This window comes from Homo sapiens, chromosome 4, assembly GCF_000001405.40.
Source record: "Homo sapiens chromosome 4, GRCh38.p14 Primary Assembly".
Classification (NCBI taxonomy): Eukaryota; Metazoa; Chordata; class Mammalia; order Primates; family Hominidae; genus Homo; species Homo sapiens.
Genome location: NC_000004.12, coordinates 38,116,216 through 38,130,713, shown reverse-complemented (window position 1 = coordinate 38,130,713; position 14,498 = coordinate 38,116,216). Strand labels below are relative to the sequence as shown.

Below are 14,498 nucleotides of genomic sequence, written 5' to 3'. Positions count from 1 at the left end.
ACAAGTGCAGTGCCCACCTCCCCCAGGGTCTTGCCTAAGCCGTTCCCTGAGCACTGGTCACTACACAAAGCTGCAAGGTACCTGGCCCCTCTGCAAGGGGGACTGGCTCTCATCTTCTTTCTTGCTGGCCCATCTCAGAGCAATTCCACTAGAGTTGTAATTACTGGGGATCTAGAGCCTTCCTGTCATCCTGGCTCTTAGGTTCTTCATAGTTTTCAGTCAAGTTCCAGAATTTTGGTACTGAAGAAAATTTCTCTTCTGTTTGCCAAAGTAGGAATGACTATTTCCATACTTTCGATGTTTTGCCGAAAAGATAAAACTATTTTAAGTTACTGAAGCAATAGAGCTACATTATTGGAAGCTTGAAAAATAAAAGAAAAATCACCAAATACAACTTTTATATCTAGCTATATTTCCTATTTCCTAAAAGCATGTTTTTCTAGTTCTAAACATAACCAACATAAAATTTCCTATCCCACTTTTCCTTTACTTAACATTGTATCAAATAAGAGCTTTTTCATGTCGCTATATATAACTGGCTTCATGATATTCTACCAGCTCAACCTACCATCATCATATTAATCCAGTCATCAAGTGTTAGACATCTAGTTCCAAGTTTCTGTTATTATAAGTGACAAGTCTAGGAGAATAACCTTATACATATGGCTTCCCTCATATTTTGGATTATTTCCTGAGGATACATTCCAAGAAACGGGATGACTGAGTCAAAGGGTATGAATATTTTACTGGCTTGGGATATGTTTCGCCAAATTGTCTCCCAACAGCCACTAATCAATGTGCACTGCCATCAGCAACATGCTAATGTTCTGCATACAGTATACCCTTGGTGCTGGGTACTGGCATCAAGAAATGTCTTTCTATTATCTAGTAGAGTAAAGCATTATATGTTACATAAGTTTAAATTACACATGAAGCCAAATACTTTCCCAGATATTTGTTTACTAGATATCTCCTCTTCGGTGAATTGTCTGTTTATGTTCTTGGCTCATTTGCTATTGTAGACTCAGCATTTCTCTTCACAGTCCATGGACACTGATTAATAAAGTCATGAACCCTGATGGTTTGCAGAACTCGCCACAGAGCTTCCGCCTTCCTAACCCCCTGCCCTCCAATCTGCTGGTCCCATTGTCATACCAAGGGCTGGAGAGTGGGAACAGTCGGCCTGGTATCAGCAACAAGGGGGCACACACTATCTGTAGTGAATTACAAAAAACATCAAACCCACTAAAAGTCCCTCTGCTTGTTATTACCACTGCATGTGAGCAATTTTCAACAACGCCAGTGGTAAACCACTTCTCCCCGCCACGCCCCACCCTCCTGGTATGGCACCAGTTGTCCTCGTACAAAACTACTCCTTTTCCACGGTGCAAACTGCCCAAGAAGTGACGGCTCCCCCACAGGCAGAAGAGGCACCTTTGCCCCTGATTTGAGGTGTGTCTTCTGAATACAGGAACCCTGGTTTCTAACCTACAAGCTCAACTGGAACAGGGGCTCCTTTGTTCATTGTGTTTCTAACAGAGTTGCCCACAGCAGGGTTTCTCAGCTGTTTGTGTGTATGTGAATCCCCTGGTGATCTCACTGAAATGCAGATTCTGATTCAGCAGGTCTCGGGTGTGGCCCCAGATGCTGAGTTTCTAACAAGCTCTGACATGATATGATGACAATGCTGGGCTGAGGCCATGCTCTGAGTGGAGCCTAAAGGATGCTGAAAATAGGCTATTTGCCCTGCCTCCCACAGCCACCCTTCCTCTTTTTCTTCCTTAAACTGAGCTGAGACTTCACAGCCACAGAGCACCCACTGTGACAAGAATACAACACTGACCTCCTTTCCTTTGTTACTAATTATTCCCAAAGTTTCCATTCTTCTTGGGTCAGAAGATGTAGATGGTTTATTCAATGGACAGGTCCTTTGGTAAGTACACTGCCACAAAGGCTTCAGACACCCTTGGTCTTCTGTCCTGGGCTCTGTCACCTTTGGAATTGCCCTCTCTGGCTGCTTTCAGCCTGTCCACATTGAGCCAGAGCTCCAGAGCCCTGTCCTTGGCCACCTCTTCCACCCAGGATCCAGCTGTGTCCCAGTTGCTCAGGCTGAGACTATCTATACAGGGAAGGCATTTAATGAAATGGAACCACAGCTATCACAGAGGACCACCCAGATGCCCTCACTTCCTGCCCCACCCCATCTGTACACAGGGCAGTATGCTCCACCATCTGCAATGGAAGCATCCATTACATCTACTCTGAAGACCCCCAAGATTTGGGCCTGGGGGATCTCTAAGGCTGCAGAGGAATCATGCTGGACCCCATGTCTGCTTTCTGTGTAGAACTTAAGACTACAGCACCCTCTGGATGGGAGGGGGCAGTAGGAAAGCAGAAAGCCTGACAGAGAACACTCAGATGTCAAGTTCAGATAGAAACACCAGAGGGAAAGAGGGGAGAGATGCGGGTAGATCTACTTTCTATAAGGACCACTGATAAAAACCCGGGCCCTAAATGCAAATTTTTGTGCTCCCGATACCCCCAAAATGTTGAACACCTCAGGTTCTGAGAATTGCTCTCTGCTCTCATTCCTGTACCTTCTCACATGCTGTGATCCTTTAGTTCAGGGATCAGCAAACCACCACCTGTGGACCAAGCCCATCACGCTGCACAGTTTTTAAAATAAAGATTTTTGCAACATGACCCATCATCCCCTTACATGCTGTCATGGATTGTTTGTGCTGCAAAGGCCGAGGTGAGTAGCTGTCGCAGAGGTGAGTAGTTGTGACGTTATGACCCGTGAAGCCTAAAATATATACTGCCTGGCCTTCTTTGGAAAATGTCTGCCAGCCGATCTTAGGTCATCTTTTAAGTCCAGCTGGACTCAAACACCTCAGCTCCAACCTCACAGCCCTGGCTCCCACAGACCCTGCCTTTCTACAAGGGGCCGGGCATGTTACTCTCTGCTCAGCTTCATCTATAAAAATAGGAATTATAATACCTATGTCCTAGAGTTATTAAGTCAGTGGAGGTCGGGCACAGTGGCTCATGCATGTAATCCCAGCACTTTGGGAGGATGAGGCAGGTGGATCACTTGAGGCCAGGAGTTCAAGACCAGCCTGGCCAACATGGCGAAACCCCACCTCTACTAAAAATACAAAAATTAGCTGAGCGTGGTGGCACATGCCTATAGTCCCAGGTACTCAGGAAGCTGAGGCACGAGAATGCTTGAGCCCAGAAGGTGGAGGTTGCAGTGAGCCAAGATCACACCACCGCATTCCAGCCTGGGTAGCAGAGCAAGACTCTGTCTCAAAAAAAAAAAAAAAAAAAAAGTCAGTGGAAAAATGAATGGCAACTTCCAAATAGCCAGATAGCGGCTTGAAACAAACCAGGTACACGCACAGCTATTTTCTTCCCATGCTGTGTCCATTTCCACTCTTCCAGCACTGAAACAGCACCTGATGTATCCTAAGTATTCTCAATACGTTTTATTTTTTGTTTTTTACAGAAAATAGGAGACAATGGGATTTTTTTCTGAGGCTCAATACTTAGGAGGTAAACAATGTCAGCTGGGATGGCCTGAGGGACAGGAGCAAGGTGACATGTCAGGTAGTGGATATAGCCCTCAGTCTAGGTAACCAAGGCTCTCGGGGGTCTGCCCTAGAAGCTGTAAATGTAAGTAAGTACATGCAACAAAAGCTGTAAGAAGAGAATGAATGAAAGAAAGAATGAATGAAAATGCCAGAAATCAAAGAATCAAAAGGGTGGAGAAGTCAGTATTAGAATCCTGGTAAAATAGGGAAAAACTCTAAATTAAATGACCTCCAGAGGCTCTTGGCAGTGTAGGAGAGCTGCTAAAGCACTTTGAGGTGGGAGGGACTTGAGTTTGAACCCCTACCTTTCCACTTTGCAGCAGAGTGAGTGTGGGTCAGTCAGTGAACCACTTTATATCCTCTCAGGAGTGCGGCCTGCACTGAATGGGATCATGCGTATATTTCGATGCCCACCCAACCTGGCAAAAAGCAAGGCCCCAACAAGCCAAAGCTATCCACATCAAGAAGAGTGTTCCAGGGAAGGAAAAGAGATGGAGAGGCTCTCAATTAAAGATGAGTGCAGAACAGACAAGAACTGTTCTTTCATAAGGGCATATGCAATGTGCAAACAGAAATCTAAAGTTAACAACTGGTATGAAACCTCTTTCTTTTGCAGGCCAAATTTGCATCTTTTTCTGTGCTTAACACCTAAGGTGTGGCTGCAAATGAAAATCACAAACACTGCATGTGGATGCAATCCACTGGAATCATGGATTCCTTTTGGACTACAGAAATCTCCAGAGTAAGGATTTTTCAAAAATAGCTTTATTTCACCATTTGTTTTTGCCTGATTGCTCTATGCTTTCGTTACACAGTTGTGTGTTGCATTACAACATTTTGGTCAATGGCGAACTGCATATATGATGGTGGTCCCATAAGATTAGAATACCATATTTTTATTGTACCTTTTCTATGTTTAGTTATGTTTAGATACACAAATACTCCACCTTGTGTTACAACTACCAACAGTATTCAGTATAGTCACATGTCATACAGATTTGTAGGGCCTAGGAACAACATGTGTAGGTGTGTAGTAGGCTATACCACTTGGGTTTAAGTACACTTTATGAAGTTTGCACAATGATGAAATCACCTAATGATGCAGTTCTCAAAACGTATTGCTATTATTAAGTGACACATGACTATCTGGAGCAGATTCTAGGCTTATGAGAGGCTTGACTGCTGACTCTGCAGTGACTCAATGATGAAATCCCTTCCAGTGCTTTCGTAGCTACCCAGCCTCTAGACACTTCCAATGATGCCCCTTTCTCTACTAAGGAGCATAGTCCTCCATCATCAGCAGCCATTACTGGCAGGTTCTTCCTTAAACTGTACAGGATCAAAATCTGCTCCCATGCCCAACCCAGGGCATTCACCATCTAGTTTAGTTGTAATTCCCAGTAAAACTCACCTCTCAGCCTCTAACACTTCAGAGGATAATGGTTCTATTGTATACTGAAACCAGAGGTAATGAAGCCACAGATATTGAACTGAATTCAGTTAAAAAAAAACCACACACACACATCATGAAACAAATTCATAGAATATATGTTCCCTATCATAACTTTGTTATCAAAGAATTATTTGGAGAAAATTCCAATTAAAACCATTCAACATACACACACACAAATCAAAGCACTCAATGTACAAAACCCTACATTGCATCATTGCATAAATATATATATGTTTCAGAAGAACAAGCTACTAGAGCTGAAGTCTCTTAAATGTAAGAAACTACTAATAACCTGTGCTGGTTTCTACAGCTAAACATTGCCACCATGTTTCCATGTGGCATTTCACCATGACGCTCACAACACACACACTCACGATCATTCCACACGTTTGTGATATGCCTCCTCCATGCCAGGCATCATGCAGAATGCCGTTCAGAACACAAAGTGGTAGGAAACAGTTCCTGCTCAAGAGAGATTTAAGTTTCTACATATCTAGGATGGCTTAAGCATTTGCAAGGTTTGGACTGACTCATACCTGATTGATGGTCTTTTCCATCTGTACCAAGCCAAGGTTGGGTAGCGTGCTTTTTATAAAGTCAACTATGGTTTCTAGGTTTTCATGCTGCAGAATCAAGGGCTTATGGCTTCCCAACAGACTTAAAGCCACTTTAAATATGACCTCTGTTCCCTGAAGAAAAATCATATCTGAGAAAACACAGAAATGCAGAAAGTTAAACCAGACCAGTTTCTCACGCAATACCATTCCATTGCCTTTTCCACACATCACAGAGCAGGAGTGTGGGAGACATAGCCCCACATTGCAAACTTTATTTCATTTTTAAGAGCCTGATATCTCAGACAGTGTTGTCAAGACAGTATTGCAAATAAAAGTACATAAACATTAAAAATTATGTTTTACTCTGAAAATAAAATTCAAACATGCTTCAAAAGTTAAACTGGGAAAGGGAAAAAGGTTTTATTAGTCTATTTTTCCAGGAATGCTCCTGGGTTTTAAAGGAGATACTAAAACATGTTTTTATGGGTCACACTAAAAGATTTTTATAGATAAAGCATCAGAAATTAAGATAGAGTAAGTGAAAAAGTGTCTCTGTTTCCTCTGTTTTGAAACAAGGAATAGAATTCAAAGATCTTTAAAAACTGTACAACAGCTGTACAACTGCAGAAGTACTTTGTTAAATACAAGTTTACTGATTTTTAACATGATAATGGAATAAAGAACATTTTTCCCTCTGAGGAGTTCAAGAACTCTGTCAAGGTTACTTCCTAGTTCTGGCCATATTTTGTTCTTAGAGTGGCTGGCAAATGGATGCAACTTCTATACAGACTGCAGAATAAGAGGGAGGGCACCGGCCAAGGCAAGCGGCCGAGCAGCAACCCTAGCCCTGTCTCACCTTCCTCATAGAGTTGAAGCTGCTGGGGAAAAAAAGAGTCGATGTCCTGGGGTTAAAGCAGAGCCACGATAACTAATTATTGGTTGACTAAACTGAGGCAGGTTACCTAATAACTAGAATAATAATATAAGAAAAAAACAATTTTAAAAATCAGAGTAGAAATATAATTGGAGGCAAGTGTCAGTATTTCTTTTCTCTGTTTCTTTTGGCTGAAAGATAATGGAAGAGAGAAAGAAGCTGTAAATTTCATCAAATCAAGGAAAGCAAAAGCAGGTGAGAGGAATAACCTTGCAGGGTGCCTCTCTAGATGGTTAATATGATAACATTTAAAAGCCACGAAGAAACAGAAAAGCAAAGACTGGGTGCTGCTGTGCAAATGGGAAACTGAATCCCTGTAGTTTCTGAACAAAGCACAGGCAGAGATGACAGACCCAGGAGCCCGCTGGCTGGGATAGCCCTCGAGATCCTCTGTAACCACCACAAAACCCTTAATTAACCATGTGAGCTGAGATGGGTGCAGCCCTAAGCCATGCCAGCGCTGAGATCAGCCTGCTTCTCCCACCCAGCTCAGGGTCCACACTCTTTCCACAAACATCACAACTACTGATGGCTCAGGGTGGCCGCAGGAAAGTGGGGAAGATGAATCCTTCACTTCCTTCTTAAGTCTGGTTGTTGAGGCTGGGAAGATATACTAGAGAACTAACTGTGTCTTTGAAATCAGAGCTTTTCAGGGTAAGTGTTACATACACCAAGGCAGGCCAATTGAAGAATATTCCTCTGAAATATCTGGTTTATAAAATGTAGTCTACCTGTATAATTCCCCACTACAGAAAATAAAAAGATCTAAAATAATACTATAACAAAGATGTATTTTTAAACAGAAATGACATTTCCAGAAACAAAACTCTAAAGTAAATTTGAAGTTTCAGTGGTTTACACAGTGAGACTTCCTAGACCTCCTTTCAATATATGAACTTTTATAGCTGAACAAAAAATGAGGGCATCTTTCAGAATAAAAATCAAGACCTTTTTTGCAGGGATCCTGGGGAAAGGCTTTCCCTACAACACCAGTGATTTTCTATAGCTTGGTCTCTACTCTCAGAGGGACAAGTGCCTTAAATTAGGTACAGTACCACATCTACGCCAATTAAAATAAACAATTACTGGGAAACTTTTGTCAGCACAACCAAATACAGAATCCACATCAGTGGTCTCTTTAGGTTAACAGGAGATCTTCTGAGATTTATTAGGATCTTGGTTTTTTTACAATAAATCAACTTAGTAAGTGCTTCCTATGATTCCAAAAGGAGACTTTCCCGGAAAGGAAATTTGGAGGGGAGAGGGTGGTGTTATGTGTTTTAAAGTCTCTTTATTGATATGTTAAAAAATTAAGACATAGCACTGGGCATATGATTTATTTTATTATATCTGTTTGTATTTAATGTAATTAAAAAATAAATGTTCTTTCCCAATGCTATTCACAACACCTTAAGAGAACTCTGCTGAGAGGTGTCTTCTACTTTAACTTAATGAGCATCTATTGAGCATCTAATACACATCAGGCACTGTATTAGGCTCTGGAGATTAAGCCATGAGCAAAACACAAAGAACACGCTGCAGAGACACCAAGGAGTTCTGGTTCGGTAGAGTTATGCCCAGGGTGTTACGAGAACAAAGAGGAAAGAAAAGGCCCACAGAAAGGTGACTGCTTGAAGAACCAATGAAAATTTCCTAGGTCAGACCTCAGGATTAATACTCTGAATAAAAGGAAAATAGGGTGTCAATACAGGGAGGTGTGCAGGAGCCTGAAAAACAGTCTGGCTGGCAAGGCAGGGGCACTGGTTGTGCAGGGCAGAAGGTGGGCAAATGGGGGCACGCAGGTCCAGATCACCAGGGGCCTCTGCCCCAGCCAAGCAATTCTAACTTCCCCTGGAGCACCGCAGGAGTCGCTGAATGCTTATTGTTCCTTTTCTCACTAGGTCAGTGCACTGGTAAGGAGATGATGTTAATGAGATGCAGGTTATGGGTATGACCCCTGCAAGGGCTAGTTAGTGTCAGAGAAAGGCCACCTTTGGAGACTACGCTGATTGATTCCTGCCAGAGACTCCCAAATGCCTGCTGCCAGAGATGCTCCACTCACCACCACTCCTCCCATTCAAAGCGTCCAACCCTCCAAGGCCGGAGAAAGTTCAGCCCCAGAAGCTTCTGTGAGACACAGGGGGTCTTAAATCGGGAGATCATTTGGGTGCACAATGCAGGAATGTGCTTGAATTCAGAGTTGAAGGAAGGACTGCAGGAAGCTTTGCTTGGGAGGAAGGGCCTCCTAAATTTGTCTGATGACACTTGGGGACAACATCTTCATCCTTTAAAGCATTTGTACCGTTTTTTGGCTTTGGAAATTTTTTTAAATCACATCTAATTTTAAAACAATAGTAAAGAAAAATGTTACCTATAAACCCACTGCCCCAAACCAATTATTTTTATTTTGCCTGTCTTCCGGTATCTTATACATTTACATTCTGGAATTTTTTAAAACAAAACAAAACAAAACAAAACAAAAAAACAATAACTCTCCTTGGAAAAGTGAGCAAATGTCCTGCATTTGAAAACCTCCCTAGGAGACAGTGAACTGTTGGAGCCGCCCAGCGCAGTGAGGCAGTAGCCTAGCTCACTACACTGTAGCCCACGTCCTTTCAGTGGGACTTTTCTCCTGCCTCTTCCTTCTCTCCTCTCCTTTTTCAAGCCACCTAGAAACAGGCAAGACGTTTTATCCGGCAGGAAATAGGAATCTTAAATTCAGCTGACTCTATTACTTTGCACTGTATTCGCTGGGAACAACACAAAGGAACTGCTTTTCTTTGAGGACATTTCAGCAACCCTCTTATTGCGTTACTGTGTATTGGAACTCTATTTGAAACTAAACTTCATGATCTCAAAGTGCAATCTTCCTATGTGAGCTTGCACTGCATCTCTTTTTCCAGCCACCTTTGTCTTTGTCAAGGCTGAGCCTTCTCAACTTTCTTCTGGAAGGCTGCGGTCCTCCAGTCGTGGCTCCGCTACATTCTATGAGTAACGGGTAAAGGGGACGCTGAAGGCTGATGACAGTGCTGTGCAGAACAACAGCACAGACAGACTGGACACACTCATCATCACGCGGCATCATGTCACCTGAATAGCTGGAGATTTTCCTGGCCACAGAAACAATCTTGTTTTCAGTCTATTTTCATCCTAAAGTCTCTCTGAAGCCTTCACTATATTGCAGGTGGCTTCTGTGTTTTTTGCCAAACCCTTAGTTTTTATACTCCTCCTCCTCCCTCATCTATTTGGCAGCATGTCCTATAGAAAAACATCAGAGGCTGAACACTGCAGCCTCCTCCTCCATCAGGAGCAAGCCAGGTCCTGTTTTTTAGATTTTTCTTCCCCCAAAGGTAGATGTGATGAGAAAGTGAACAGAGCAAGCGTCTCTCCCAGGGCCCTGCTGTACTCAAGCTAGAAAAATACAGGAAGGGGCTATTGACATTATGTGACACCAGGTAGAAGAACTGCCATTCAGCAAGGTGTGAGTATCATGTGAAGGTTAAGGCGCACACATCACTGGCAGCCGCCCCTCCAAGGAGCAGATACATACTTAATGCCAGGTAACCTATTAACTAATATATGAGCTAAGGTGGTGCAAACTGAAATATTTTACTTAGTCAACAAAGTTCTACATGTTTTTAGAGTTTATCCAGACTTAAAGGCTTATAATGAAATGGGCCCTAGGCCAAAAAAGACTATAGTGACTGAATGGCAGGCTTTGAAATATAAAACTAAGCTATCTCCATCACCATTCTCTAAGTCATCAGTGCTAAAAATAGAAATGGTTTGTAAAAACCTATCTTTTCTGTTTTTAAGTACTGAAAGATGGGATGGACTGTGGAAAAAAAAGCAGTTCTTGCAAAGTGACATCACAAGCCAGTGCGGCCTTGAGATCCCACTTCCCGCCTCTAATCCCAGGAGCCCTTGGCCAGCTGGACAACGACCCACTTAGCACAGCAGGAGTCTGTGGGATCCAGGAATGATGTAGACACTGGCATCTCTATGCATAATGTTTATGAAACTCCGAGTCTCACCACTGCCTACAAAGTCTACAGAAAAATATCTTACCTTTACAAGCTGCAGCTTTGATTTATGAAGTCATTAGAGTGAGCTTCAGAGAGCTTCAAATTACTCTGCAATAGAAGGGCTATCATTTCCAAAGTGGAGTCTGCTTGTTTGTTAACGTCTTTTTACCCATTTATGAGCCGAAGGAAAAATTTCTCTTCCAGAGCCCCAGAACTTTCTGCAAGCAGCAGCTCCAGTGCCTGGGGCCCCAGGGCAGAGATGACTCAGTGATGACCCCTCAGCCCTCCAGTCTGTGGTCAGCCTGGTTGCCTTGGTAGAATTTTCTTCACTAACCAAGTAATTTAATGCCTGAGCTGTTTACAAACCATTAACAAACAGCGCTCCCTCCTCCCCATTTCCATCCTCACTCCTCTTCATGACCCTGTATGAAAATCATAGCTAAAATGTGGAGAAAATGTAAGGAAGGTAGATTAATAATTTTCTTTTAATTTCCAGTGTTAGAGAAGTCAAAAACATAGAAGTTATTGGCAAGAAAGCTTAAAGCCTAGAGCTTGAGATTTTAGTTTCTGTAACTCTTTTGTTAATAAACTAAGCACACAATTTTGAGGCTTTTAGTTAATCTTTTTTTTTTTTTAACCATGGTATAAACCTTCATGAACTCTCACTAAAGATATGCTCAACCAGGAGATAGCTTTTTGTATCTATTTTAATTTAGTGATTTTATTTTTTCAGGGACAGAAAAGAAGGAATATGAATTCTTATAGTAAAGCAAAATGGGAAACTCTTTAAAGGTTCTTGTAGATAAAAGTGAATAATAAAAATCTAGTATTTGGGGGGAAAGGAAAAGAGAGAAGAAGGGTAAATGCTCACTTATATTAAAAAGCAAATTTTAGGATTTCTAGAATTTGGATATTTAAGATGTTTACCCAAAGCATGTCTGAAGTAGTATCAATGTCTTTGAACATTTCCCTTAAGATGCTCTCTAATCATAAAAACAAATTTTTTAAAGATCACATGTTTTTAAGCTGTCAAGTGATGCTTAAAAACATTTGATATATAATAACTATCATTTTTTTAGTAGCCTCCTCCTTTACAATAAAAAAAAGAACCTGAATTGTCAAAAATATCACTTTTATTCTGCAGTAGGGAAAACAAACTGTGCCCGAACTGACCATGCTCACAACATTCCACTCGGTTCCTGATGCGCACGTGGACAGCCCTATCCCTGCATATGAAGGCAGGTTGAAGGCTTTGTGTATGAACACTCACCTAACTTTGACAATGTTCTCAAAAAGTAAATCAAGAATATAAAGGCAGGTTTTACATGTGAACCACCCAAGGTTAACAGCGGGGGCACGGGAGTGGCAGTGGCTGTGACATGTGGGCTCAGGGGCAAGAGGCCTTCATGAAGTGTCAAGGCTGAGCGGGGAGAGCGAGCCATCCACACGGAGGTGTTACTCAAGGTCCTGACACTGGTCTCCAAGACAGTGACTTGGGAGAAAGTGTAGAGCCAAGGGCAGGGCAAGAAGAGAAAGGGGAGGAAGAGATGCCAAGGGAATCTAGAAAGGGCCCAGAGGCCCACAGTCAGCATCAGTCAATACTCACAACCCAGAGTGGCTGAGGAAGGCAATTCATGAGAAACATACACCTGTGGCTCCTCAGCCAAGTCCTCCAAATGTCTGCTCTAGGGAGACCCTCATGGTGAGCGATCGGATCTACACGGATCGGATCCACATCCCACAAGATGAAGGCATCTAGGGAAGCCCCGTGATTATCAGAAGTTAAGGAGGACTCCAAAGTCACAAAACCCACCCCTGACTAATCTTAGACTATCAAACAATACCCTGTTCTGGTAAGAGCTACAGGTATAAAAATAAGAATCACCACGGAGAGACAGGAAATGTTTCCCCTCTAATAAGAGAAGGCTGGTTCTGGCAAACAGATTTACTAATGCTCACCAAAGACTCTGGCTACGAATCCCAGCGGGAACTGTGAGGCAAACATGGTGAGGAACCAGGGGGCAGCGTAGAGGCTGGGGCCGATCTCGTGCTCCTCCAGGTGATTGTAGAGGTCTCTGTGGTAATCATGAAGCAACCTCGAGAGCTGGTACATCTGGATCTGCAGGAAGACAGCCACAAGGGCTGAGAATTAGGGATCTGCCACAGCAATAAAGTTATGCCTACTGCTCACAGGGTGGGTGTAAGAGAAGACTTACTAGAACTTTAAACATTCGATTTGGCTTGCGATCCACTGAGCTCAGCTACTAATTCATCCAACAAGTGCTTCCCAAGTGCCTGCTGGTGCCAGGCACTGGCTGGGTGTAGGCCCAGGACGCTAACGCTGGGTCTTCTACTGCCACTTCCTTTTTATTGTTCCCTTGTATTCCTCCACTAAGAAGATCTAAAAATCTGTCTTGTGCAAACATTTCATAAATTCTCTTACAAATACATACTCTTTGCACAACTCAAGCCTGGAGGAATTAGAAATAAGAAGCCAGTCTCTTTACTAAGACTGAATTAGGGGCATCTTATGATTCCATAGGAATCCATTGTACATGTTCACTCAGCAAGTTCCCTCTGGACCCCTGAAATTACTCAATAGGCAGGAGAAGCATAATTTCTTTTGGTGTATAATATATGGAATATCCAGATACCTGGCAAGTTAAAACAAGAAGACAAGTGTGCATCTTAAGATGAAATAAAAACTTTTTCCAACTAAAGTGGAACTCCAACTTCACAGAATGACATGATTCTGGCAGAAATCTCATGCCAGTTCCTAGTAGTGCCACCAAGAGTTACAGGCTCACAGAGGCCCGAGAGCCAGCCCAGATCTGAGCAGTGCCACGGCCTGAGCCTAAAGAAACAACAACCTACAGAGGGTCAGAATCCGCTAAGATCCACCAAGTTGGATATGTCCTATCTAAACTGAGAGAAAGAAAACAAAACCGTTTTCAGAGGCTCAGATAATATAATCCCATAAGCACCAGCTGTGGCTCTCCCATATCGAAGACTGTCTAATCAACCAAAGGCACCACCCCAAAAGAGTTGTGTGTTACATAAATTATAGAAAACTCAAAAATTCCACTGCCTGGTGACCACTGTCTTTAAAGTTAATAAAGGGAATGTAGGAAGAACCTCACAGTACATGTGGAAAGTGTTATGTGGTCAAAATCTTTCAGTGAATGAGTTCCTTCTATGATATTTGCATTCACGTGGTCCATGTTCACAGGTCAAGGTGAAAAGATTTTGAATCACATAATTTGGTGCTCTCAAAGCAAGTCCTTGGCTCTAATGTATTCCCTCCCAGGATACTCTCTAGAGCTCTGAAGGCATAGTATCTTACTGGTAGTAAATGAACATATCAACATGTGCTGCAACATTTAGGAATATTCCTGAAGCAGGATCCAGAGTTTTCCCTCTGACAGGCAGCAAGAGCAGCACGTGGTATTTGCAATACGCTACTGTGTTTGGTTTTCTCTGACAGAATTGTTCATTCAACAAATACTTATGGGGTGCCTACTTCAACCCACGCACTGTTTCAGAAACTAGGAACTCGGCTCCAAGACCCGTAAGATCCCTTCCCTCTCCTAAAGTTCACAGGCTATGAAAAATCAGAAAATAGACAGGGAGATGATTATGGAAACAAGATCATTTCTGGCAGTGGCTGTGTTGTGCAAAAGAAATCAGCCAGGATAACGTGACGCAGTGTGCCCAAGGTGGAAGTGGGGAACACAACATCAGGGTAGTCAGAATGAGCTTCTCCCAGGATGTGATATTTGAGCTGAACCTGAGATGACAAGGGTGGGGGTGAGGCAGAGGAAGAGCAGATGCAGAGGCTGGGAGGTAGGTCTGAGATCATCTGATGGCTGATGGGGGCAAGAGGGAAGGCCCTAGAGTCAGAGAGGCCTGGGTTTCCAGTCCAGCTCTGACACTTGC

At 42.8% G+C, this 14,498-nt stretch overlaps 1 protein-coding gene across 31 annotated transcripts in view, besides 7 other annotated features; it reads right to left on the bottom strand.

The window, feature by feature from the left end:
- TBC1D1 (TBC1 domain family member 1) overlaps positions 1-14,498 on the bottom strand; it is a 248,090-nt gene that overhangs the window by 8,460 nt on the left and 225,132 nt on the right. For 29 of the 31 annotated variants that reach the window (XM_011513659.3, XM_011513660.4, XM_011513662.4 and 26 more), the window contains 2 exons: positions 12,522-12,681; positions 5,583-5,752 (listed from right to left, as the gene is read on the bottom strand). In XM_011513659.3, the coding sequence (XP_011511961.1) occupies positions 5,583-5,752; positions 12,522-12,681 (330 nt within the window). Of the gene's footprint in view, positions 1-5,582; positions 5,753-10,605; positions 10,761-12,521; positions 12,682-14,498 lie in introns of those variants that run through there. The other 2 variants (NM_001253915.2, NM_001253912.2) reach the window with 2 other exon arrangements.
- Positions 855-1,707: an enhancer, noted in NCBI's record as "NANOG-H3K27ac-H3K4me1 hESC enhancer chr4:38130628-38131480 (GRCh37/hg19 assembly coordinates)". NCBI's record gives its function as "activates a minimal SCP1, AML or CMV promoter by ChIP-STARR-seq in primed H9 embryonic stem cells {active_cell/tissue: H9 hESC(primed)}" and the evidence as "EXISTENCE:reporter gene assay evidence [ECO:0000049][PMID:30033119]".
- Positions 855-1,747: a biological region, named in NCBI's record as "NANOG-H3K27ac-H3K4me1 hESC enhancer GRCh37_chr4:38130628-38131480".
- Positions 1,328-1,747: an enhancer, noted in NCBI's record as "active region_21426". NCBI's record gives its function as "activates an Ori minimal core promoter by ATAC-STARR-seq in GM12878 lymphoblastoid cells {active_cell/tissue: GM12878}" and the evidence as "EXISTENCE:reporter gene assay evidence [ECO:0000049][PMID:35858748]".
- Positions 1,708-2,561: an enhancer, noted in NCBI's record as "NANOG-H3K27ac-H3K4me1 hESC enhancer chr4:38129774-38130627 (GRCh37/hg19 assembly coordinates)". NCBI's record gives its function as "activates a minimal SCP1, AML or CMV promoter by ChIP-STARR-seq in primed H9 embryonic stem cells {active_cell/tissue: H9 hESC(primed)}" and the evidence as "EXISTENCE:reporter gene assay evidence [ECO:0000049][PMID:30033119]".
- Positions 1,828-1,987: an enhancer, noted in NCBI's record as "active region_21425". NCBI's record gives its function as "activates an Ori minimal core promoter by ATAC-STARR-seq in GM12878 lymphoblastoid cells {active_cell/tissue: GM12878}" and the evidence as "EXISTENCE:reporter gene assay evidence [ECO:0000049][PMID:35858748]".
- Positions 12,023-12,524: an enhancer, noted in NCBI's record as "H3K27ac hESC enhancer chr4:38119811-38120312 (GRCh37/hg19 assembly coordinates)". NCBI's record gives its function as "activates a minimal SCP1, AML or CMV promoter by ChIP-STARR-seq in primed H9 embryonic stem cells {active_cell/tissue: H9 hESC(primed)}" and the evidence as "EXISTENCE:reporter gene assay evidence [ECO:0000049][PMID:30033119]".
- Positions 12,222-12,391: an enhancer, noted in NCBI's record as "experimental_79418 CRE fragment used in MPRA reporter constructs". NCBI's record gives its function as "activates a minimal promoter by MPRAs in K562 erythroleukemia cells, with activity observed for both the introgressed and non-introgressed 4:38120029 variant alleles {active_cell/tissue: K562}" and the evidence as "EXISTENCE:reporter gene assay evidence [ECO:0000049][PMID:34662402]".